This window comes from Homo sapiens, chromosome 6 (assembly GCF_000001405.40).
Source record: "Homo sapiens chromosome 6, GRCh38.p14 Primary Assembly".
In the NCBI taxonomy this organism is placed as follows: Eukaryota; Metazoa; Chordata; class Mammalia; order Primates; family Hominidae; genus Homo; species Homo sapiens.
In genome coordinates, this window is record NC_000006.12 from 5,290,530 (window position 1) to 5,315,237 (window position 24,708).

Below are 24,708 nucleotides of genomic sequence, written 5' to 3' on the forward strand. Positions count from 1 at the left end.
TTAAAGCAGAATGTGCTAAATGTAGAAAGTAGCTCAGTTTTTCTACTTGAAGGACAAAAATTCTAGGTTGACATACTCCTATTTTGATGACCTGTGATTGGTTGATGAGCTCAACCTTAGTTGGTAGTATTTCCCTTTTATCCCCCTGGGGGTGGCTTTAAATAATTCTAGAATGGCAGCACTGTGTTAATCTTTGGTTTGTTTGTTTTGAGACAGGTTCTCACTCTGTCCCCTAAGCTGGAGTGCAGTGGCACAATCATGGGTCACTGTAGCCTCCACCTCCTTCCAGCCTTCCACCTCCCACCTCAGCTTCTCCAGTAACTGGGATCACAGGCACACACCACCATGCCCAGCTACTTTTTAACTTTTTTGTAGAGACAGGGTTTCACTATGTTGCCCTGTCTGGTCTTGAACTCCTAGACTCAAGTGATCCTCCCACCTCAGCCTCCCAGAGTGCTGGGATTACAGGTGTGAGCCACCATGCCTAGCCTGTGCTAATCTTAGAAGGAAAATTTCTTTCCAAATGTCTTCTTGAAGCATATAGTGTATATAAGAATCTACCTGTATTTTTGTCATTTTCATACACTTCAGAAATAGTTGTAGAAACTTTATGGTGCGATGTGCATTTACCATGAAGAACAGGCTTTGTTAGCATTTACCTAATAAGTTCCTAGTCATTTTGATTAATTCAGTCTTGTTGACATGATCTCATATAAGATCTAACCACAAGAAGCTGGTGCTTAACCTCGATCCTCTCATTTATCATTGGGATTTTAGTAGGATGCTGATTTTGAATAAGTTGAACACCTTCTAAACTTTTTTCCAAAATCCAGTGCTGCTAAAAACAGTTCTCTGAAGGTGAGGTCCTGGAGAGTTAGGCGGGAGGTGGGTGAAGAGGCTTTAGAGGCCGATGGTGATCCCAACTTCCTAAACTATCCAATTTGGGGGAAAGAATCTTCTTTGATTTTTACAATTTTTAAGAAAATGAAGTCTGAGATCTTTCTTACAAAAAATAATTATTTAGTCTTTCTGGTACTGATAATTAGTGAGAGATTTATCAATCCTTTTTACCCTTAGAATTAAATATTGAATAGCTGAGTGTGTTGGCATATGCCTATAGTCTCAGCTACTAGAGAGGCTAAGACGGGAGTCCAGGAGTTTGAGGCTAAAGTGAGCTGTGATTGAGCCACTGCAAGCCAGTATGGACAACAGCAAGACCCATCTCTTAAAAAAAAAAAGAAAAAGAATTAAATATTGAATATATTTAATGAAGAATCAGGTTTCTTTATGAGTATTCATTTGTTAATTTTACAAAGATGTGCAAACTGTTGTATATACAAAGTCTAATAAGATATACTATTTTATTACTCCAAAGAGTGCATAGTCTGTAGGGGAGACTAATAAGTCAACAATTACAATAAAAATTGATAATATGGGTGATCATTGTTAGATAGGTAGACAGATACATGCTGTGAGGTCAGAAAGGAGGGTTGGTTACCTAACCCAGACAGATCGAGTCAGAGAAGGTTTTCTCGGAGTGGGGGTTGTCAGAATGAACAGGAGGTAAGCAGGTGAAGGGGCTGGGAGACCTTTCCTTGGCTGAGGGAGCTATGTTTGTATGACACATGTGTCTGTATGGCTGATGTTTCCAGGGAGGTAGTTGATGACAAGACATGAGATTGGTCAGGTATTCAGGAAATAAATTATGAAGGCAAAAGACTTTAGATTTTTCTGAAGAGTTTTAAGCAGAAAAGTGACCTTTAAGACTTCTGTTTTAGATCATTTTGACAGCAGCCTGGAGAGCAGGCCAGAGGCATGTGTGTGAATTGGTGGCAGAGAACTACGTTTGTGTTGTACTTCTGGTAATCTCAGTGAGAGATGATGAAGTCTTGAACTGTCAGCAATAGACAAAATGGAGAGATGGACAAATGCCAGAGTGATATGGGATTTGGAAGTAATCAGGCCTGGCCCCTGACTGGATATGAGGAATTGAAGAGAAGGAAGACTAAAGGATACCTCCCAGTTTTCTGGATTGGGTACTCAGGTGGTGGTTGATACCATTCACCCAGGTAGTAAATGCAGAAGGTGGTATTAGATTTGGTTGTGTTGAGTTTGAGGTACCTGAGGGACACCCAAGTGGAGAAGTCCTGCATAGACAGGTGCACCTGTAGCCTGGAGCTTTTAAGGGAGACTGGTGTTGGAAATACAAATATTTAAGAGACCTTGGTGTATAATTGGCAATTCAAGCCTATTATATTTGTAGGTAGATGAGACCAAAAAAGGATATGTAGTAGAGGGAGGAGAGGGCCAAAGATGGAACTCTGGGGTTATTCAGTGATAGGGATGATGGAAGATCCTTAAAGAAGATGAGTAGGAGCGTTCATGGAGGTGGGAAGGCCAGAAGAGAGGCCACAAAAACTGAGGGAAGGCACAGTTCTGAAGAGGGTGCAACCAATGTGCAACCAATGGCGGCCAATGCCGCACAGAATTCAAGTAAGAAAAGCACTGACAAGTGGCTACTGGATTGAGTAAATAGGAGGGTATTGGTGACACTGTTGGAAATAGCTCCAGTGCAGTGGTAGAGCAGAATCCAGAATTCACTGGGTTGAGAGGTGAGAGGTGAATGGATGAGGAATTGCGAACAAGAAGTGTTTAGTGTTTATGGCTCAGTGCCTTCTTGGGAAAGAAGGATACAAGGCCGTGAAAGAGGGGGTTGTAGCTATGAAGGGAGGTTTGTCAAGAGAGGGGATGCTTTTTGTTTTAGTAGGAGAAATTATGTGCTGAAATGAGTGAGCCATGAGGCTTTGGCCTAGGCAAGAAAGCTTCTGCTTGCATCCACATAGGATGTGAGCAGGAAAGATGGATGCTGATGCAATTAAGGTTGCATGCATGCTAGGAGGGGAGGAGGTGGGGATGGAGGGATTATTACTTGACCATTCTGTATATCTACATTATAAAAGATGGCATTTAAAACCACAACACTGGGCCATGTGATTTTTGTGGTGAAGAGACTAGCTTCACTACAAGAAATTTGGATGATTTATAAATCTCTAAACCCCAATGGGAGAAAAGTTATTATTTAATAATATCATAGATATTCACTTTTATTTAAAGAGTCTTGTTAGAAAACAAATTAGAAACTCCATGTACGATTTTTTTTGTTGTCGTTGTTCATCAATGAGAAGGTTTGTTTAAATTATATCCCTGTCATTGGCATTTTGGAACTTGAGGACAACAGAACTGTTACAACAGGAATTTTAGAGCCAATTTTGACCACAGTGAAGTGGCTGTGAAGGCTGAAGGCCAAGAGCATGATTGATTGGGTGATTAGAATTCTTTTTAAAGCAAATTAGAGGTGGCAGGTCTGCCACAGGTGAGAAGTACTGCAAAGAAATGAATCTCATTATCAGATAAAACTTCTTAGATCATCAAAAAAGAAGTTTAATGTTTAAACTTAAACACACACACACATACACACACAGCACGAATGACCTGCATGTGAATTCCTGTTTGTGATTATTATACAACCTAGCATCTAGCCTGATGTTCTGTATAGTTATAAATAATAAAGAGGTATGTTTTATAGTTAATTCAGGAACAGGTGCCCTATTTGTGAAATACATTTATCAGTTCAGTTTAGCCACTTATTGTATTTGGGGTCTTCTTGATGATTTAATTTGTGACTAGGCATTTGAGTTTCGGATCCTTGGTGTAAAAGGAGGTGGAGGGGAAGGAAGGAAGCCAGGACCAGTGTTTAGAAAGGGAAAAGAGGAGTAGAGGACAAAGAATGGAGAATGATGTGTATGTGGTGGTGTGTAGGGGAAACTCTCTAACTGCGTTTTTCCTCTACTCTTCACACTACAACAATCATCAACACAGAAGAAGGCTTCTGTGGCCAAATGTGTGGGTTTTTTCCCCATACACCAAGTGGCAGGCACCGGTTGGATGTCCTCTAATTCAGTTCTGACACTCTCTACCCAGAGATAGTGTCAGATCCCACAGGTTGAGGGCCCAGTCCCCATGACTGTCCCCCTCGCTCCCTGACAGTCACAAGTCCTGGCCTCTTGAACTTCTGACTGATGACTTCCTCTTTGGGTGTGGTTAATTTTCTGGAGAGGCTCACAGGACTCAGGGGAAAACTTATGATTACTGGTTTTTTATAAAGGATATTGCAAAGGATACAGACGGAGAGACGTGCAGGGCAAGGTATAGGGGAAGGGGTGTGGAGCTTCCATGCCCTCCCTGGGTGTTCCACCCTCCAGGGACCTTCGTGTGTTCAGCTATCAGGAAGCTCCCTGAACCCTTTCCCCTTGGGTTTTTACGGAAGCTTCATGACATCAGCATTCCTTCCCCCAAAGTATAGGGTGGGACTCTCTCATGGAAGGGTCTTAAGACCCACTATCAGAAAGCTGAGGGAACATACAGTCAAAGGAGGGCAGGAGGTCAGAGGCCTGCCCCTGAGGCCTAAAACACCCAACATGGCCTAACACACCCACAATAAGGGCTGTGGGAGTTATGAGCCAGGAACTGTGGGCAAAAACCAATATACCTCTTAACACCACAGATCGGGGGTGTGTCTCAGTCTTGGAGAGTGGCACGAGGCAGCAGTCTGTGGAGAGCTAGGATTTCTCAGGAACTAATACACGCTACACACCAAGCTATGTGCCGTCATATACGTTATATCCTCACAATAACCTAGCAAGGTGAGCAGTGAAATTATTTGAAGTTTCAAAGGAAGAAATGAAAGGAGGTGAAAACATATTTTTAAAAGATCTTTTAAAAGTAAAGAAAAATAGTGATGATGATTTGTGTTAGAGTTAGAAATTATTTCAATTGTAGCTCATGGTGTTATTCTAATTTTTTTTTTGAGTCTTAGGTGTTTGAGTCAAAAGGGCTAAAATTGGCTTTGAAGCTGGTAATCTGATGCTAGCTGAACTCTCCTTTTGTGTGTGCTTGGAAATTTAATAATAAAACGTTTTAAAAAGGATCAAGCAAATAAATAAAATAGTCTTGGTAATGATAAAAATGAGAGAATATTTATGAATAGCAAGGGGACTTTCTTCTCTCTTCTGTCAGATTTATAGGATAACCATAGTCTTTGAAACTATTTTTGAGCCAAAATTATTAACAAGCCATTTTGGAAATAAAGACAGTAGAATCGGTTGTTTTTAATGGGTTGTCTTAGCTTTATATAAGGTGAAGACTCAGTTCAGAAATAGGTGGCTTCTTCATCTTCATCCTGTTGCAGTGGGAGTTTTCTCTAAATGAAGGCGTGTTTATTTATGCTGGAAAGAAGCCCAGGGCTAGAAATGTTTTGTCGCAGAAGGTATATAGCTCCAAGGGGGAGAATCAGAGTCTAGGCAGTGAGCATCTTTTCACGTAAAACACTGTGGCAGGGACCGTGGGGAGCTACAAAGGTGGGAAGGTAAGATAGCAGTGATACCATGGAGGGCTTACTGTGTGCCAGGCGCATGCTAAACACTTCCCGTATGTTTAATCCTCACTGCAACTCTAGGAGGTAGGTACTATTCTTTCTCATTTTTTAATTTTTATTTTTAATTGCGGTGAAATGTACAAACATAAAAATTATCATTTTGGCCTTTTTTTTTTTTTTTTTTTTTTTTTTTTTTGAGACGAAGTCTAGCTCTGTCGCCTGGGCTGGAGTGCAGTGGTGGGATCTCAGCTCACTGCAAGCTCCGCCTCCCGGGTTCACACCATTCTCCTGCCTCAGCCTCCTGAGTAGCTGGGACTGCAGGTGCCCATCACCACGCCCAGCTAATTTTTTGTATTTTTAGTAGAGATGGGGTTTCACTGTGTTAGCCAGGATGGTCTCGATCTCCTGACCTCGTGATCCGCCCGCCTTGGCCTCCCAAAGTGCTGGGATTACAGGCGTGCGCCACTGTGCCTGGCCTATTTTGGCCATTTTTAAGCATACAGTTCGCTAGCATTAAGTACATTTATGGTCTCATGTAACCATCACCACTACCCATCTCTAGAACTTTATCATCTTCCCAGATTGAAACTTCGTACCCAGTAAACACGAACTCCCCATCCCCTCTCCCCCAAGCCTCTGGCAACCACCATTCTACTTTCTGTCTCTGAATTTAACCACTCTAGGAACTTCGTATGAGTGGAATCATACAGTATTTGTCCTTTTCATCTGATTTATTTCAGTGAGCATAACATTTTCATGGTTCATCCATGTCGTATCATGTGCCAGAATTTCCTTCCTTTTTAAGGCCGAGTAGTATTACATTGTCTGGATAGAGCACACTGTGTTTCTCCATTCATTCATCAGAGGACACTTGGGTTGCTTCTACCTTTCGGCTATTATGAATAAGACTGCTGTGATCATGAGTGTACAGATATCTTTTCAAGATCCTGCTTTTAGTTCTTCTGGGTACAGACCCAAACGTGGAATTGCTTGATCATATGATAATTCTATGTTTAATTTTTCAGGAACCTCCATACTGTTTTCCACAGTGGCTGTACCATTTTACATTCCCACCAGCAGAGCACAGGGGTTCCAATTTCTTCACATAGGAGATAGGTAATTATTTGTCCTTCACTGTTACAACAGCGGAGGAAGGGTAGCACAGAGAGGTTAGGTGAGCTCACATAGCTAACATGTGCAGACCTGAATCTGAATTTGACTCCAGAAGCTTACCTCCTGTGACATACAGGTAAGGTGAGGCACAGAGAGTCCAAGGGGCATGACTGAGGGCCCCTGCCTCATAGCATCAGTGATTCAGAGCCTGCCTTCAGAGTTCATGTTATGAAGGATTCGTAGAGTTCGCTCTTTTTAAATAAAAATTCTCTTTAAAAAAACTAATTTTGGCCTGGCGCAGTGGCTCACGCCTGTAATCCCAGCACTTTGGGGGGCCAAGGCGGGTGGATCACTTAAGGTCAGGAGTTCGAAACCAGCCTGGCCAACATGGTGAAACCTCATCTCTACTAAAAATAAGAAAATTAGCCGGCTGTGGTGGTGGGCACTTGTAATCCCAGCTACTCGGGAGGCTGAGGTAGGAGAATTGATTGAACCCAGGAGGCGGAGGTTGCAGTGAGCCAAGATCGTGCCATTGCACTCCAGCCCGGGCAACAAGGGTGAAACTCTGTCTCACAAGCAAAAAAATAAAAAAAAACCCAAAAGAACAGCAACAGCAACAACAACAACAACGAAACTAAGCTTTGCATATTTTATGACTTTTTCCTGCCTTTCCAAATTTATGCTTTCAAATGTTCTTGTTATTTAAAACATCGTCTTTAAAAAGTCTGTAGTATCTTTGATTTCCCTTTTATTTAAGATTTTTGGGTAAAATTTTGCCTTTAAATAATTTAAAGCAAATATGCGTTGGTTCCTGTGGAGTTTTTAAAAACATCTCCACTCTACCCATTCCCATCAGAAGTTTACTTTTAAATAAAACCAAGCAACAGTATCTAAAGCTGGATTTAGGTTAGGGGAAGCCCGGAGGGCATCGATGGTAAACACTGAGGACTTTGAACATTTAGATACAGTGAATGTTGCAGCTTTATCAACAGAGGAGCAACAGCTAAGAAACTTACACATTTCTCTGTATTACTTTTGTGAAGAGGATATGCATTTTCCCTCAGAGTCACAGTGGGGCTGCATGGCCTTGTGAAAATAGTGCTGCCCCTGGATGATGCTGGTCTGCTGGGCCTGTGTGTCACTTCATGTCACTCTCTGTCTCCACTGCTTCTTGTATTGTTGTCAGGGAGATGCCCCTTGAAAATACAGACTTAGTGGCTTCCTGGACCCTGCCTCATCGGGGTTGCATTTTATGGCTGGGAAGCCTGGTTGTACATGGTCCTCAGCCCCACTCCTGGGGTTGGGGGTGGGTGGCTTGTACAGTGCACCATCTTAGCTGGTGGTTTTAGACAAACACTTGCTTTAGACAAATGCTTCTTGTCCCAGCATATCAAGGGCCCATGATCTTGCAAAGAGGAACTCTGATTTGGAAGGTATCTTTAGACTAATCTCTAATTCGGTGGTTCCCAGCTATGGCAGTACACTGCAGTCCACCTGGGGAGCTTAGAAAAACAATGATGCTAGAGTCTCATGTCCAGAGATTCCAGTGTAACACATTTGATGTGGGCCTTGGTCAGTGGGATTTTTAAAAAGCTTCTGAGGTGATTCTAATGTGCCATCAAGATGTGGGACCACTACTGTAATTTCTTTTTAATACCTTGTTCTTTGGGCTTTAAATAAGATTTTTACTGTCAAAAAATACAAAAATACCAGGAGGTGGAGGTTGCAGTGAGCCGAGATCGTGCCACCGCACTGCAGCCTGGGCAACAGAGCAAAACTCCATCTCAAAAAAAAAAAAAAAAAAAAAGATACAAAAATGTCTTGTCTTTTCTTAGGGTGTCCTTATTAGCTGAGATTGCTGAAATTTATTCCTCACATATGAAGGGAATTTCTTCTATTTTGTTAATTTGTGGTGGAAGATCATTTTTATGTCTTTATAGAGTATGTTTTTATATTGAAATGATATAGTGTGGGTTGCTAAAATATAGATCTAGTTTATTCTGCAGAGCCTTGCGTTTTGGAAGATAAAGAGCAACTGTTTGCTTGCCTAGATTTCAGTACAAGCTTTAGCTCACTTTGGGTTTTGATGGCAGTTTCATTTTATAAACTGAAGACTATACTATGTAGACATCTGTGCTGATATTTCTGATAGTTCCTGAAGGTTTCTCATTTAGACTGTCATCTCCTCTGGCGAACATAGTTATAATGCTTCCTACACTCCTGTGTATTTAAACACTTACCCTTATTATTAAATTAGAAAATCTAGGTGTATCTTTGAACCATACAGTCAATCTGAGGGTTTTTTGGTTTCAAGGAATGCTTTGTCTGAGCCCCTTCTGGGCCCCTGGGATTTGTTTAAAATTACAGAGCTGTATCGGTATAATCTTTTCTTCTATAACAGCAATGGCTGTCTTGGACTGTGGCTTTAAGCTTATTCGGTTGAAAGTTCATCAAAGTTTGGAGATGACACTTGGGGTTCAGGGGAAACAAGTATTCTCTTGGCCTTGCTTTTGTTTAAAAGATGAGTTTAGATGTGCCATGTTGGTTTGCTGCACTCATCAACTCGTCATTTACATTGTGTATGTCTCCTAATGCTATCCCTCCCCCAGCCCCCCACCCTCCAAGAAGCCCTGTTGTGTGATGTTCCCCACCCTGTATCCAAGTGATCTCATTGTTCATTTCCCACCTATGAGTGAGAACATGCGGTGTTTGGTTTTCTGTCCTTGTGATAGTTTGCTGAGAATGATGGTTTCCAGCTAAAGGACATGAACTCATCCTTTTTGCTAGTTTTCCAGTTTACAGATTATAGGACTTCTCAGTCTCGATAGTCACATAAGCCAATTTCCATAATAAATTCCTTTATCTATTAAAAAAAGATTAGATATAAAATTTTAAATATTTGCCTTTTTTATTTATATATGAGAGCTCTGTCAGTAGTTGGAGCAGAAAGTTTAGATGTCAAATTTAAAAATGTTTTCATTTTTTGTTTTTTATTTACCTATGATTTTATTTATCTATGAGGACTCTGTGAGTAGTTAGAGAAAGGATGTAGGATCCCTGGTAGATTTCCTGCTGTGTATCTCTTAGAGCCCTCACTGAGGGCAGAAAATGATTGGATTACTCTGGTGGTTGAGGACAAGAACTTCTTACCTGCTCCAAAACCTTTTTTGATATAGGTAGAACAGAGACATATGTGTCTCTGTGTGTACATGTAAGTATATATAACATAAGCATGTCCAAATGTTATGTCTGTTTATAGTCATACACAGCTGCTGATTCAGAGTGACATAGTGGAAATTCTTCCTGACCTTTGACTTGGAAGGGACATCTGATGGTGATCCTTATTTTGTTTTTTTTCAAAGAGAAGCACATTTGGGTTTGATATGGCATTCACATTTAGATAATTTCATGACGGTTGTGGGGACTGGGAATGTAGCTCTCTTCTCACTTTTATGCAGATTTTTCCCCTTAGTTAATTACTGAGGTGACAGGTGTCTGTGTGGAGATGGTGGGTGGGGCAGGGGACACTGTTGGATGAGAGAGACAGATTGCTTAGATAACAGTCATGGGCATCTGGTCATTTCCTTTTTCTTTCTTTCTTTCTTTTTTTTTGAGACAGGGTCTTGCTCTGTTGCCTAGGCTGGAGTGCAGTGATGCCATCATAGCTTAGTGCAGCCTTCATCTCCCAGGCTCAAGCTACCCTTCTGCCTCAGCCTCCCAAGTTGCTGGGACTATAGTCATGTGCTACTTATACCTGGCTAATTTTTTTTATTTAAAAAATTTTTTTTTGTAGAGATGGGGTCTTGCCATGTTGTAAACATGGGGTCTTGCTGTGTTTTGTAGAGATGGGGTCTTGCCATGTTGCCCAGGCTGGTCTCAATCTGCCTGCCTTGGCTTCCCAAAGTGTTGGGATTACAGGCGTGAGTCACCATGCCCAGCCACATCTGGTTATTTCTGAAGTCCTAGAAAATGAAGGCTGTGCTTACTGGGGGTGGGAGGGAGTGTTTGGGGGGCTCTTGGATCAATTGGTATGATTTTTTTCTAGTCTGTAGTCTTTTATTTTTCTTCTCTATAATTATTATTCTCTGGTTGTTGACCTCCAGGGTCTGGTTAGTTACCTATGTCACTAAGAAAAAGGTCAAGGGTTATAGAAATGAGGCACTTACTTTTCTGATGCCTTAACTTAGTTTGCAACATCCTGGGAGTTTGAAATAAGATGGTAGCAAAGTTTGGGCATAGTGGCATGCACCTGTAGTCCCAGCTGCTTGGGAGCCTGAGGCAGGAGGATCCTTTGAGCCTAGGAGTTTGAGGCTGCAGTGAGCTGTGATCGTGCCACTGTACTGTAGCCTGGGTGATAGAATGAGACCCTGTCTCTAAAAGAACAAAGAAGATGGCAGCAAAGTAACGGCAAGTTCTCTTTCAAAGCCTAGCCCACTGTTTTGCAGAAGGTGTTCTGCCAGCCCCATTCTTATCTCCAACCCACCTACCCCATCTCCTGGATCAAAGCCAAAATCATTTCTAAGGGAAGCAATTGTGAAATCATTCCCTTCTATCAAGAGCAGTTTGCATTGTCTCCATGCAGAAAGTGTGCAGTTTAATATATTAGGGTGGGTTGCGGAGTGGCAACTAATATCAAACAATTTTTTTTTAAACTAACATTCTAGTTTTATTGAAAATGAGTCCAGCCTGCTGGGTGACAGAGTAAGATGCTATCTCACACACACATACACACACACACACACACACACACACACACACACACACACACACAAAGAAAATGGGGCTAAATTGGTGGACCCCACACAAGTAAGGGTTATGTCAGATGATTTTGGTGAACCATCCTTCATGTTGGGAATTCACTCAATAAAACAGATTAAGAAGACTTGGTCCCTACCCTCTTAAGAACTTACAAGGAGCTCCTTATGTTGTTGGTCATTTATCTTCTTAGCCATGCACTTTTCCAGTTACCAGTCATGCCCACCTACCCTCTTTGTCACTTACAGACTCCAGGTGACAGTCTTCCCACATATTGGAACACTTCTACTTCAGAACTTTCCTCTAGAGCTCTGCTCCCCTAAGTTTGGTCCTAGGAACAGCAGAATCTCAGGCGCCATCCAAACCTGTGTTGTTGTGTTGTTTAACAAGACCTCTAGGTGACTTCTGTCTGCAAAACATGTTAAGATTCAGATTTTATTTCAGTAGGGCTTGGTGGGGACTGAGATTCTAACAGGCTTCCAGGCAGTGCCCATGTCGGTCTGTGCACCACGTGGTAGATAGCAAGGCTTTGCTGTCCAGAGAGATTACATCTCCCTTGTGTCAGAGAGTCGCAAAGCTGCTTGGGTTATCGGATGACATGGGATGACATAGGCTAATCAAGTACCTCTGGCCTTGGGGAGTTGAAGTTAAAAAAAAATGTGCCTGGTTATTATGTGCTAGCACAGTTCTCAGAGCTTTACTTGCACACTGAATCCTCTCCTCAATCTTAGGAGGTGGACACTATTACTATCTTTTACAGATGGGGAGATGAGGCACAGAGAAGTTAAGTAGCTTGAGCAAAGTCACATGAACTAATGAGTGAAAGAGCAGGGCTGTGAACCAGGCAGTGTGGCTTCGGTACCAAGGTATGAAATTACTGTGCACTTCCTGACTGTGTGGGGGGCTATAACTGTTGGCAGGGAGAGTCGGCTCACGGTGCAGAAATGAGAGTGTTTTGGTTTGGGCAGTGGAGTGGTTCCAGAAGGCACGCTGAGTTCAGGACTGAGATCAGCATAAGGAGGGCTGAGCAACAGAGAGCGGGACTGTGTGGTTCATGTTCGATGGACAGGGTTAGTGGAGGAAGAAGACACACAGGGTGCCAGCTGCTGAGGAACGAGAGTAAATATAGCAAACTTTTATTAAGCATTCATAAGTGTCAGATACTGGGGTTTACATTTGTTGTTTCATTTGACCCTTATAATGATCCTGTGGTGCAGGTACAAATCTTTTAGAGAAGGAAACCGAAGTTCAAGAGAGTAATTCTCCCAAGATCATACAGGGAGAAGAGTAGCTTAACTTGAATTTTAAGTCAGTGCCGTCTGATTTCACAACCTGTATGTGAAGCTTCTTTGCCCTGCTGCTTCCCTGGCAGGGACTCAGTGGGGAAGTGAAGGTATAGAGGAGAGAAAAGAACTTGAGCATTGACACTAGGGTATAAAGAGGTGCCTGGACATAGAGATGAAGGGCAAGAATGCAAGAGCAGCACCTGGGACTGACTGGTTGAAGCTGGACTGGAGATCTCTGAGATTTTCCTGAGTGGGACTGGTGCCTGGACTGGCACAGGGCTGAAGCTGCACGTGGGGCTAAATGGCCCCAAGGTGAAGTCGGTTGCCATCTGCTGGTTGAGGCTTGTTAGGGCTGAGCGCACACCTTTACCTCCTGTGTCTTCATCCTTGTGTCAGCTCGGGAGAGCCGCTCCTGCCCTCCCTCTGAGCCTGCCCTCCCCACGACTCTGTTTCTTAGACAAATGTGTTTGCGGCCACGCTGGCTGCTCCCCAAGCCCCCTGCTTCTCTGAAAGTGAAAAGTTGCTTCTGCTTGCCTTCCTCCATCTTTGTGATTATTGCATTTCTTGCCACAGACATTTCTCATTGCTCCCAATGTGAAAATCTGGGCTTGTGACTTTAACCAAATGATTGTACAGCCCCATGTGACCTCAAATAAATTTTTTAAATGGATAACTAAGCTGACAGTATGTGAAGTGCGCCCGGGGAATTCTCTGCCTCGGGATGCTCGTAATGAGGGGAATTGACTGGGGTTAGCAGATGGACACTGCTCATTTTTTGGCAATCATTGACCAAGTACGCAACACCTCCAGGTGGCTCTCCGTGGACTGCTCTGTGTGGCTCAGCCCATGATGCCTGTGCGTCCGTAGAATGCTAATGGTCCCTCTTCCTCCCTGAGTAACATAGCAGGCTGCATGGTCTGGTGTGGCTCTGTATCCTTGAGATCAAAGCATGCATATCATTTTTAAATAAAAGATTATCTTTTAATTATAGAGGCATCATAGCAGTATTACAAAAAGCTTAGAAATAAAGAAGGGAAAGCACCCACATTTACCACCCTAAAACATGGTAATCAGTTTTTAAACAATTGTTCAGTGGCTTTTCATAGTTGTATCAGTTGTTTTGTATGTGCGTTTCCCCTTATCACTGTATAATCCCCATAGTTACCATTTGAATGGCTGTATCATATTCTGTTGTGATGCCACATCATTAATTATTTAACTCTGTTGTTGACATGTGCGTTACTTCCAACTTTTTACAGTTACTAATAACAGTTAAAGGTATACATTTGTACATGTAGCTATTTTCATATTTTGAATTAGTCTCTTATGATAGAGTCTCAGACATGGCATTACTGGGTCAAAGAGTATGAACATTTTTATGGCTTCTAAAACGTATTGGCAGATTGCTTTCCAGAAGAGTGGAGGCAATTCACAATGCCACCACAAAGGCATTCGTTTCCCAGATGGCCAACTTGGTTAGGGATGCAGCCTCTCACAGTACATGAGAAGCTGTGTTTATGTTTGTGTTTGTGTTTGTGTGTGTAAAAAACTTGTTGGCGCGTTTGTGTATTGATTTAAGCCCAGGGACACCATGCATTGCCTTTGTTAATAGGAATGTACTAGGTGTCTAAGGATAACATAATGGTCATCCATTAGTATTTAAAATAGATGTGTGCTTGATATGGATTAAAGCAAGGGTATAGGTGTTTCCTCTTTCCCTAGAATTCGGACTTTTAAAAAGATTGGCAAAGGTGAGTTGACAAGAGTGTTCAGCCAGTGTGACTAGGTTCTTAGTGGCTCCCTTCTTTTTGGGAATACCTAGTGATTTGGAGGCGAAGGTGGAAGTCAAAGGAGCTTGGTAGGAGCAGTAGTGGGAGGGCACTGGAAGTAGCTGGGCATGCGCTCAGAAGAGTGCCTATTGTGGACTGCACAAAGCACCTCACCTCACCTGGTGAGGACAGTCTTTTGGGTGCTGAATGGAGTGCTTGTGTGGAGAAGGATTTTGAGGTCACACCTAGGCTCAGTGGGAAAGATACTGTGATTAATTAGCAATTTGTTCTAGATCTTTGTCATTGCAGTTTTCTTCAATTTGTTATCCAGTTGGATTATAAACATTACATGCCTTCATGTAGGAACTGTACCTTTTAAAATTACAATTTTCTACCCATTTCCTAAAATGTCTAGCACATTGTATTGTATATGATGTACGTGTATGGTAGTTTTGTGTCTGCTGATTGAATGAATGAGGGAAAATACTACTTTATCCTCATAGTCCCAGGCATTTTATCAAAGCCTTGTGTTGAAGTAGTGGGATCCCACAGTTTGCCTGCCCACATGTGAAACCTCCAGCAGACCTCACAGGGATAAAGGAAAGGAAATTTCAACTGAGAAACTTAGGGAAAGTAATGCCAGCAGAGACCTTTGACTCATTTATATAACCACCCAAAACATTGAATGAGACCTCCTTGTTTTATAGAGGAATCAATTCAGACAAAGAAGAGCAAATAGCTTCCCCACGATCACACAGATGGTGGGTGACTGGGGACCCCAAGTTGGGTCCTGATTCCTGGTCCAGTGTCCTTTCCTCTACACCTTGTTGGGAGAACTTGGCGTACTTGTTTTGCTTGCCCCTCTCCCACTATAGCCCCTACAAGTGTGTATTTGGAGTTTTCTTTGCTGTCTGACCATGCTTGTCCTCCCATGTAACTGGATTAGGAATGAGTTTAGAGATTGTGGCCTTGAGGCAGTAGTCAGATGGGGGTATGAAGATTTATACTGAGTGCCAAGAGACAGTGCCGGATCAAAATTCAATTCTATTCAAACTTACAGCTTTGCCTTATCTCCAGTTTGGAATATAACCTTTTTTTCATTTTAAAGGGAGAACATATAATGGTAGATGTGGTACATGATTTGAGTGTGTATTTGATACAATTGTGATCCTAATAAAACTGCCATTCTGATCCATATGCCTAGGGTAGAGGTTTAAGGTTGTTAAGGGAGCATGAACTTTGAGCTTCTTGATTTATCTTGTGTGACTGAAATCTAAACGTCAGTATTGCATCAACTCCGGGGTTGTTTTTCCTCCTTTCTTTCCAGAACCCCTCACCCCCAATCTGATGAGCACATTTGGTTGTGTAGTTGAGATTCTGAAGCTAAATGCATTAATAGTGAGGGAAGTATTCACAGTGAATGTCGAATGAAATGACTGAGGAGACAAAGCAGGAAAGAGAATTAACAGTCTACTGGTTCTTTTAACAGCCATGTGATGGCTGCCCTGGGAATTGAATGATTTGTAGATGACTGGATCCTGCTCATTCCATGGTGGCTTGAGGCCCCTTGAAATTGATGTGAACCTCGTAAGCTGTCAGCAGTTACAGCTACTGGGTAATCAGGTTTGGAATTTATGAGTATTTACATTTCAGAGGGCCTTTACTATGTTTCTGGAATTTTGGATTAGAAATGCTTGTCCTTGATATAACAGTATTTTATGCACGCTGCTGGAGTGTTTAAGCCCCTTCACATTCCCAGTGTGTCCCAGTATGTAAGCCACTTTCTTTCTGGGAGAGCAAAAAGATGATATACTTAATCCTACTTTTGGATTAGTGGACAGGATGATTTTTCTCTGCTTCTCTACTAAACTAGCTCCATACTGTCTTCTGTACAGTAACAAGTCACATGGTAAAAAGAAGTTAGAAGAGTCTTACTGACCTGCTGTTGATAAATATTTTCCTACAGCATGCTGAGGTGGGCACATTTTGACTTTGCTTGGTTTTGAAAGGATTAACATTTTTTAACTGATAAATACGAATTTGTTCTGAAAAACTAAAAAAAAAATGGAGAAATTGAGAGAAAACTTATCTAAGACCCCTCCAACAGAATGCAAACCACTTAGGACATTTAATTTTTCTTTCATTCTTTTTTAATGCATAATTTTTATGTAGTTGTAATCTGTTTATGAAAATCTGGTATTTTAAAAATTATTACATATGTTTTTCTTTGTTATTATATATTTTTCCTACAGAAGCTTCATTTTCCATTGAGGGGCATTTGTTAAAATCTTTACTTGCTCTTTCCACATGTTGTCCAATGGCTCAGTCCTTTACTTATCAGTGGGGTGTGAGTGGGTAATGGCACTGTCCATCAGTAATTATGACTGATGAGTTGGCTGTCTCTTCACTCAGTGGAGGCCAGGCCTCTTCTTTCATTTGAGAGTCATTGATCTGAATGGCTCATATATTTTTCCAATTATAAATTATCCTCTAGTGGGCTTTTTGTGCATTAGTTCTTTGGGATATTTTTTCAGAGTAGAATTGCTGTCCATAAAAGGGACATTTTCATAAGGTCTATGAGGCATTTTGATATTTTACACACACGCGTGCACACACACATGCACAATTTCCGTCGTATCATATTGTATATACTGTTTTCTGCAAGTTGCCACTAGTAATCTCAAATGTACAAAACTAACCATATACTACACGTAACATTGGGTAGTATTGCTGTTTTAAGTTCGTTAACTTGATAGGCAGAAAATAGCATCAAGTTTTAAATTTCTTGACTTAGTAGTGAGCGTGAGCACTTCAGCACACATTGATTAGCTACTTGATTTCCTGTTTTATGAACTAATTCATCTTGGCCTTGAAGTTGTAGTGGTTAGAAAGGAGTGGCACCTGCCAGCATCTCGGTGGGGCACACGGGGCTAGGACACAAGCTGCCGTGCAGCCTCAGGGGTCAGCCTCAAGGCTCATGACCTGAGTTGGCGGAAAAGCACTTACTTACACTGCCCACATTGCTTTAGGAGGTCAGGATCTCTCAACACTAAAGTAAATGCTTGTTTTTGACCTTACTACTGCTTCAATTTGAATTGGCAACTATTTGCAATTTATATGGGGATTTTTTAAGGACAGTAGGGAAGGTGTGAGATTTTTATGTTTATCAAATAAAATGGGCCACGGATGTGAGAATTTTTTCACTTTTTAAAAATGGCTTGCTACAAAATTCTTCTTCCTCTCTTTTTTTTTGAGAGAATGCCACATGCAAAGGCCTCAAGGCAAAAAAGGGAGTGATGTGTCCCGGGAAGAACAATGAAGCCAGGGTGCCTGGATGTTTACAAGGAAGACCTAGGTGAAGTCACAGAAGCAGGAAGGAGCCCAGTGATGCAGACATTAGTAGGTCGGGGCAAATGCTGTGGCAAATCACCAAAGGGTTTGAGTTGCAGGCATGTGATTCACAGAAGCATCACCCTGGAAAGGCAAGAGAGGAAGCAGCAACTCCCGATGGATGCCTCCTGGGGAAGCCAAGGCAAGAGGTGATGGTACCCTGCATGCTTGTGCTTCCTAAACCATCTCTGGTAAAGGGCCATAAGTTTTTATTTCTAATCTGCTGTACACTGATACTGTTATAGAATATAAGAAACACGGATTACCGGAAGAATGACCATGAGCTTGAATGTGACAGCAATGTCAAATTGCTACAAAAGTTTCTGTGTACTTACTCTCGCCCTGTGTCCTTACCTTATCATGCGCTGGTATCAGGTGGACCCCACTTTGATAGCCTTGGCTGACAATGCAGCTCCAACGTCTAACAATGTGTTGCATATTTTCTGTGGATCAAGCCGTGGTATATGGCTATCAACTGTATTAGTTCATTTGGGCTGCTCTAACAAAATATCATAAACTGGGTGATTTATAAACAATGGAAATTTATTTCTCATAGACCTCAAGGCTGGGGAGTCCAAGATCAAAGGACATATTTGATGTCTGGTAGGGCTTTCTGGTTCATAGATGGCACCATCTCCCTGTATCATTATAGAAGAGGCAAGGGATCTCTCTCAGGCCTTTGTAATAAGGGCACTAATTCTATTCATAAGGGCTTTGCCCCCGTGATCTAACCACCTCCCACTGGCCCCATCTCCAAGTACTATCACCTTGGAGGTTAGAATTTCAATATATGAATTTTGGGGGCCCACAAACATTGAGTTTATAGCAACTATTTATACCAGACAATGTGCTGTGTACAAGATAAACAGTGGGATATGAAATAAAGGTTGTCTCTGCCTTTCAGATTTTATAGTCAGGTTGAATTGAGAGAGAAGTAGATGAATATGAGGCATATATTGCAGATAGACTCTCTAGGACTTAGTAATGGATTGGATGTGGGAGATTCAAGGAGAAGGAGGACTCAAGGTTAAGAGGCAGGGATGGGGTACTCTTTACAGAGGGGAGAGAGACACTTTCTTTAGACTTGGCAGGATTGTGTGAGATTCTTGTTAGTGTTGAACTTTTATCTTTTAGAGACATGATATTCTAATTTCATAAAAGCAAAATGATTAACATCCTGATGCAGATTTGAAATGAATTTCCCTGATGACATGGTGCCTCCAGGAAGAAATCTGGGTGGCTAAGGATAAAGGTGGGGGAGTTTGGAATTTCGTACTGTGCCTATATACCTAGTCAATAAAATGTGTTTTGAAATAGGATCTTATGACAGCCAAAATAATAAAATACCTGTGGATAAATCTGAAATAAGAAATGTGGAAGATATGTATGATGAAAACTTTAAAACACAAAGAGATTTGCTAGAAGAGTTAAATGGAAAAAGGAACAGGTTAGAAAGGAAGACAATATTGAAAGATATCAATTCTTATAAATTAATCCAATAATCAATGAAATCCTAATTCAAAGGGCAACAGAGTTTTGTTGCTCTTGTTGTGCAGAGGAATTTGGTACAGTGTTACAAAATTCATCTGGAAAAATCAAATTGTGAGAATAACTTGGAAAATACTCCAAAAGATAAGTAATGAGGGGCAACTTGACTTACTGGATGTTAGATACATTATGAAGCTATAATAATTTAAACATTAGAACTGAATAATTTAAGATCTTGCTACAGAAAAAGAAAAAGGCACACAGATGAATGGAACAAAATAATTGTTCAAAAATAAACCTGAAATGGACCTGAAATTAGATTATGATAATGATGGTTTTCAAATCACTAGGGAAAGTAGGTTTTCAAATCACTAGGGAAAGTAGATTTTCCAATAATTTTAAATGTTTAAGGAAACAAGAGTAAACAAAATGCAATATCTTTATTTCATTCTTTATACCCAAGAAAATTCCAGATAGATAAAAGATTTAAACATAAAAGCATAAAGTATAATTTCTATAAGAAAACATGAGTAGATTTATTAATAATTTTGGAGTGGTGAAGGCCTTTCTAAGCAAGGCAAAAACCTCAAAGGTCATAAACTAATAATTGTTAGATTTCCTTATATAAAATTTAGGTTTAAGGAAAAAAAAAACCTACAAAGGCAGTCAAAAGATCAGCCACAAACTGGCAATTATTTGTAATACATATGACCAAGAAAGAGTTGCCAGTAACAATCTTAATTAAAAAAAACTCATAGAAATAAGTAATGAAAAAGCTCCATCAGTCTAATACATTTTTTTGTGTGTGTGCGTGTGAATTGGTAGTTTAAGAAAAAAAATACAAATGCTAAAAACAAATGAAAATGTGCAGCTTCACTGATAATTAATGGGAAGGTATGTTAGTGAGACATCATTTTTGACCCGTTTGGCAAACAATCAAACAAAAAGTAATCTAAGCACTCATGAAGGTTTGGGCAAACAGAAACTCCCTACCAAAACGTAAGGTCCATAGGCAGAGGCCCTTTTTAACAAAAAATCTATTTCACTGCTATATCCTGAAAATAGAGAAATGTAAGGGGTCAGTGAACATGTGGTGAGTGAATGAATGCATGAAAATATTGTCCTTGGTAGAGTAAGTTGAGCAATCTCACTTGAGTGGAGTGCAGTTTAGCAATATCAAAATAAAATTCCTGTGCCCCTTTCTCCAGCAATCCCACCATTAAAAAGTTACTCTTCTTCTGTGCTTCCAAAGGTTTGCTAAAATACGTGGGCAAGGATGCTTATTTCAGCACTGGTTGTCACAGCAGAAACCTGGGAACAGTCAGAACACATCAATGAGGCACTGGTTAAATAAATCATGGTGCATCCAGGTGATGATATGGTTTGTAGTTGTTGCGAGTGAAGAGGATTTGTATGTGCTGTCAGAGAGGGAATTCCAGTGCATTTTGTTATTAAGTAAAAAGCAAGATGTAGTACATGACCCTGTTTGTGTTAAGAATCAAAAGGAGTATGTTTTACTGATAGATTAAATAGATGCTGCAGGGGTTCCCTCAACCCCTTCAAAAGGGATCACAGGAAACTTTTAGGAAAGGTCGCAAAAGCCACTGAGTTGGAGATACAGAAGGGGGTCCTATTTCAGTCACGTGTGTGTGTGTGTACATTTGGCATGTTTTATTATTCTCATTATTTTTAACTCAACAGTTATCTGAGTATGATGTTACAGAACTTTTCCCTCTTTTTACTTCTGTGTATTAAAACATGCATACACCTGCACGACCCTAATAAATGTTCCTTAGAAAAAAATTTCCATAAAATGTTCTTTATTTGTTGACTGTGGTATTGGCCTCAGATCAAATTATTTATCCTGTTTTCTTTAGATATATGAAGCCGTCTTAAGATTGAGAGTTTCTCAGTTTTTGACCTGGGTGTCTTATTTAGCTAAGACTAGGACCATGTGCTCTTTTTTTTGGCATGGAGGGTAAGTGAGAACGTAATGGTTTGTACTTGTTGGGAAGAAGCAGCTCATGTTTGGATCTAGCTGTCAAAAATGAGAGATAAAAAGCCACTCACAGATTCCTTTGTTCCACAACTGTAATGTATTTCTGATTCTCATTGATAATAATATATTAATTGTGGCCTCAAGTGAATTTGCCCATTGTAGGTTTGTCTGGGGGAGTGTAAGTTAGTTTAAATAACTTTCCGTGCATCGTAGAATCTTCGGTGTGTTGAAGGGTTTTATGTAATACAAACATTCATCCACAAACCATATTTAGACACATAAAGCTCCTTGATTTCTAATGAACTTTTTACATGTGTAGAATGTCTGAAACTTACAAATAATCTAGGAACAAGCAAATAACTTGGGACCATCTTCTGAAAGTGATTCAGATTATGAATTAAGCTGCAGTCCTTTTGAATGTGTCTTTAACTCAAAAGGGTGGCAGTTTAATTCATAGCATTCATTTATCCTCAGAAATTGAAGTATAAAAATTTTAATAAGAATTTATTTTAGGCTTTGCTTACTATTAATCTATAAGTCTCATAGCTTATGTCTGTGTAGTATTTTTTGTGTTTCAGAAGGCCTTTTTTATACACTTTCACTTAAACTTCATAACAACCTTGAGAAGTAGACTGAATTTTCTTTATTATCTGAGGACTTATTGTTTGATATTTGAGGACAATATTGCCAGCTTAGAGAATACGTTAACAGTGGTCCTGAAGATTAGACTAAGATAGCAGAAAAAAGGAAATATCAAAACTTCAAAGATTTAACTCATCTCTAGCCACTGGGAATGTGCTTATGGAGGAGGGTTTTGAAAAGTAGGGGTTATTCCCAGTGTGTGTTAGAAAGTGCAGGGCTCTCTCTTCTTGCCTTCTGTTCTGGGCTCTTGTTCCCTAAAGAAATGCCTCTCAGATTTTCAAGACCACAGTGCTAAGTATCAATTATAAGGAGTCCAACCGGGACTCAAATAAGAATTTGAGTGCCCAGTATGTGCAAGCACTGTAGCAAGTGCTGGAGGCACAGTGTTGAATAGCAAAGACACAGCCCTTTTTTTTAGGCTTACATCTGGGGCTTCCTGTTGGTGACTTGTGGTGACGGTGGACACGTTCCTGCCCCCAAAGAATCTGGGGGATACTGTCAGGTCAATGGGCAGTCCCAATACCTTGTGTTCAGTGATATAATAGGGGATGTATGAATTGCTGGAGAGCACATAGCTATGGCATCAAATACAAATTTGAGGACTCTGGGGTGGGAGAGGGAGAAGGAGAGGGAGAGAGAGAAAAAGTGTGTGGTGGTACTGCAGAACAACCTAATCAGCAAAGTACAACCAACCAACACCCCCTAACACAGACTTCAGTGTTGTTTACACATATAGTGGTTCATTGAAAGATTAACAGATAATGGCTTATTAAAGGATCATCTGAATTTGTTGTTACAAAATCACCTGCCCCTTTTCATCAGGCTGGGATGTGCTACCACATTCTCTATGCAGATCTCAGGTTGTCTGTCTGCTGAGGGCTGTCCATACTCAGACTACCATCAGCTGGTTCTAGTTTCCCAGTGACTTCTGATTTACTGCTGGCTTTATAGTTTACTCTTAGCTCCTCTGTCGTACTTAATGCATAAAGGCTCATTGACGCAGGGCCGTTCCTTATCATTTTAGCTGATTCCCGGCTGTATTCCCTAATTACATATCACAGCTTTCACAACACAGATCTGCATTTATTGCCATCTAATAGATCTTTTCCTGATTGGTAACTTCATATGGATTTCTCCAGTAGGCAGTTTTTATTAGGGAATTTTTTTAGAACTCTACTGTAAATTGAGTTGAGCTATTTTGGGAAGGAGATTTGCATAAGACTTAACAGGGGAGAAGTGTTTGGAGGGAGGGAACAGCCTAGGTGGAGCCTTAGATGTAAGAAAGCATAAGAAAGTATTGAAAACAGGGAAATGATTTTTATATGTGGTGGAGAAGTGGTCATAGGTGAGCCTAGCTAGAGAGGTAAGTCATTGGTTTAGTGCTTCCTAAACTTTGCTGCACAATGGAGTCACCTGGGAATTTAGAGAAAATTAAATTTAAAATAAAATAAAATAAAATAAAATAAAATAAATAACCTCCCAATCCCTGGCTCCTCCCTACCTTCTGTGCCCCAGACATTGTGACCTAATTGGTATGTAGTGTGCTGGGGCATTGGGAATTAGAAAAGTTTCTCAGATTACAACGTATAGCAACATTTGGGCACCTCTGAGCCAGTTTATTAAGGGTCTTACGAATTATACTAAAGCATTTGGATTTTATTCAGAGAGGGATTTATGGCATCGAGGAACCACTGAAAGTCTTTAACCAGCAGTTCTGTAAATTAGAAAGATCATTCAGATTGCTTTGGTGAAAATGGATCGAGGAGTCTAAGACTGGAGGCAGTGAAACCAGTTGAGGGTCCCTGAAGGTTAAGGTGGGCTGATGGAGGAGGGAGTGGCAGTAGAGTTGGAAAGAGGCAGATGGATACCTGGGATATTGAAGAGGTGGGTTCAGCAGAACCGTTTATGGATGGTGTGGGTGTGATGGATGGGACAGGTGTGTGGGGGTGGAGGAGAGGGATGAGTTGAGCTTAGGTGGGTGGGAGCAGGGAGAAAGGGATGATCCTGGGAGATTGTTTCCTTGTTTCTGCAGGGGTCATTCTACCAGACCTGCTGAACCAAGGTGACCAAGTTACACTAGTTTCTCCTTTCAGGAGGTAGCTGAGAAAATCCGTCAGTTGTTTGCTGAGCACTTACCTTTTAGGATAAACTGCCTATGGTCTGTTTTCTTCCAGGCAGAGGTGATGTCTTGTTCCTCCTCAGTTTGAGTGGGTGTTTTTTTCTCTAATGATTAATCATCTTATAGCTCATTTGCATGAGACATCTGTGACCTTGATTAAGGGGAATTCTCCTCACACTTGTGACCCATGCAGGTCCTCGTCGATATGGGGTTACCACTGGCTCAGTGGCCTCCAGAGAACTTCAGATCTCTTGTGCAAAGAATGAGAGATAGTTGGGGAAATACAGATTTCATTACTCTTTCATGTAATTGAATTGGAAATGTATCTCACTTTTATCTGAAAAGTTTTTGGAGAAATGTGAGGCAAATTTTATGTAGCAATCGATGTTCTTTGAGAAAGAAGTATAACCTCTGTAACAAAAGTTCAGTTGTGTTCTCTCTTTAGGAAAATCCAGTATACAAAAATCTGAATTTACAAAGCACGCACATTCTGGGTAGAGGTAATTAGTGGTTGATGATTTTGGTAATGAATTCTTGGCTTTGTGAAAAGATGTCCTTTGAGAATCTTTTGTAAAGTAAGTTTTCTATGTTCTTTAAGTGACTTGGATTTTAGGAATAAATTTTTGGAATAAGTAACAGCCTATCTGGGTATTATAATGTATATAATCTACTATGTACTGTTATGCGAATCTTGGCCAAGGATTAGGAAGGGT

The 24,708-nt window shown here is 40.8% G+C and overlaps 1 protein-coding gene across 23 annotated transcripts in view, besides 4 other annotated features; it reads left to right on the forward strand.

Moving 5' to 3' along the window:
- The window catches only part of FARS2 (phenylalanyl-tRNA synthetase 2, mitochondrial), a 521,650-nt gene that overhangs the window by 40,596 nt on the left and 456,346 nt on the right, over positions 1-24,708 (forward strand). The gene's annotated exons all lie outside the window — the stretch shown is intronic.
- Positions 3,934-4,033: an enhancer, noted in NCBI's record as "active region_23904". NCBI's record gives its function as "activates an Ori minimal core promoter by ATAC-STARR-seq in GM12878 lymphoblastoid cells {active_cell/tissue: GM12878}" and the evidence as "EXISTENCE:reporter gene assay evidence [ECO:0000049][PMID:35858748]".
- Positions 11,698-11,757: an enhancer, noted in NCBI's record as "active region_23905". NCBI's record gives its function as "activates an Ori minimal core promoter by ATAC-STARR-seq in GM12878 lymphoblastoid cells {active_cell/tissue: GM12878}" and the evidence as "EXISTENCE:reporter gene assay evidence [ECO:0000049][PMID:35858748]".
- Positions 11,698-12,001: a biological region, named in NCBI's record as "Sharpr-MPRA regulatory region 4425".
- Positions 11,707-12,001: an enhancer, noted in NCBI's record as "tiled region #4425; K562 Activating DNase matched - State 5:Enh". NCBI's record gives its function as "activates a minimal TATA promoter and a strong SV40 promoter by Sharpr-MPRA in K562 cells {active_cell/tissue: K562}" and the evidence as "EXISTENCE:reporter gene assay evidence [ECO:0000049][PMID:27701403]".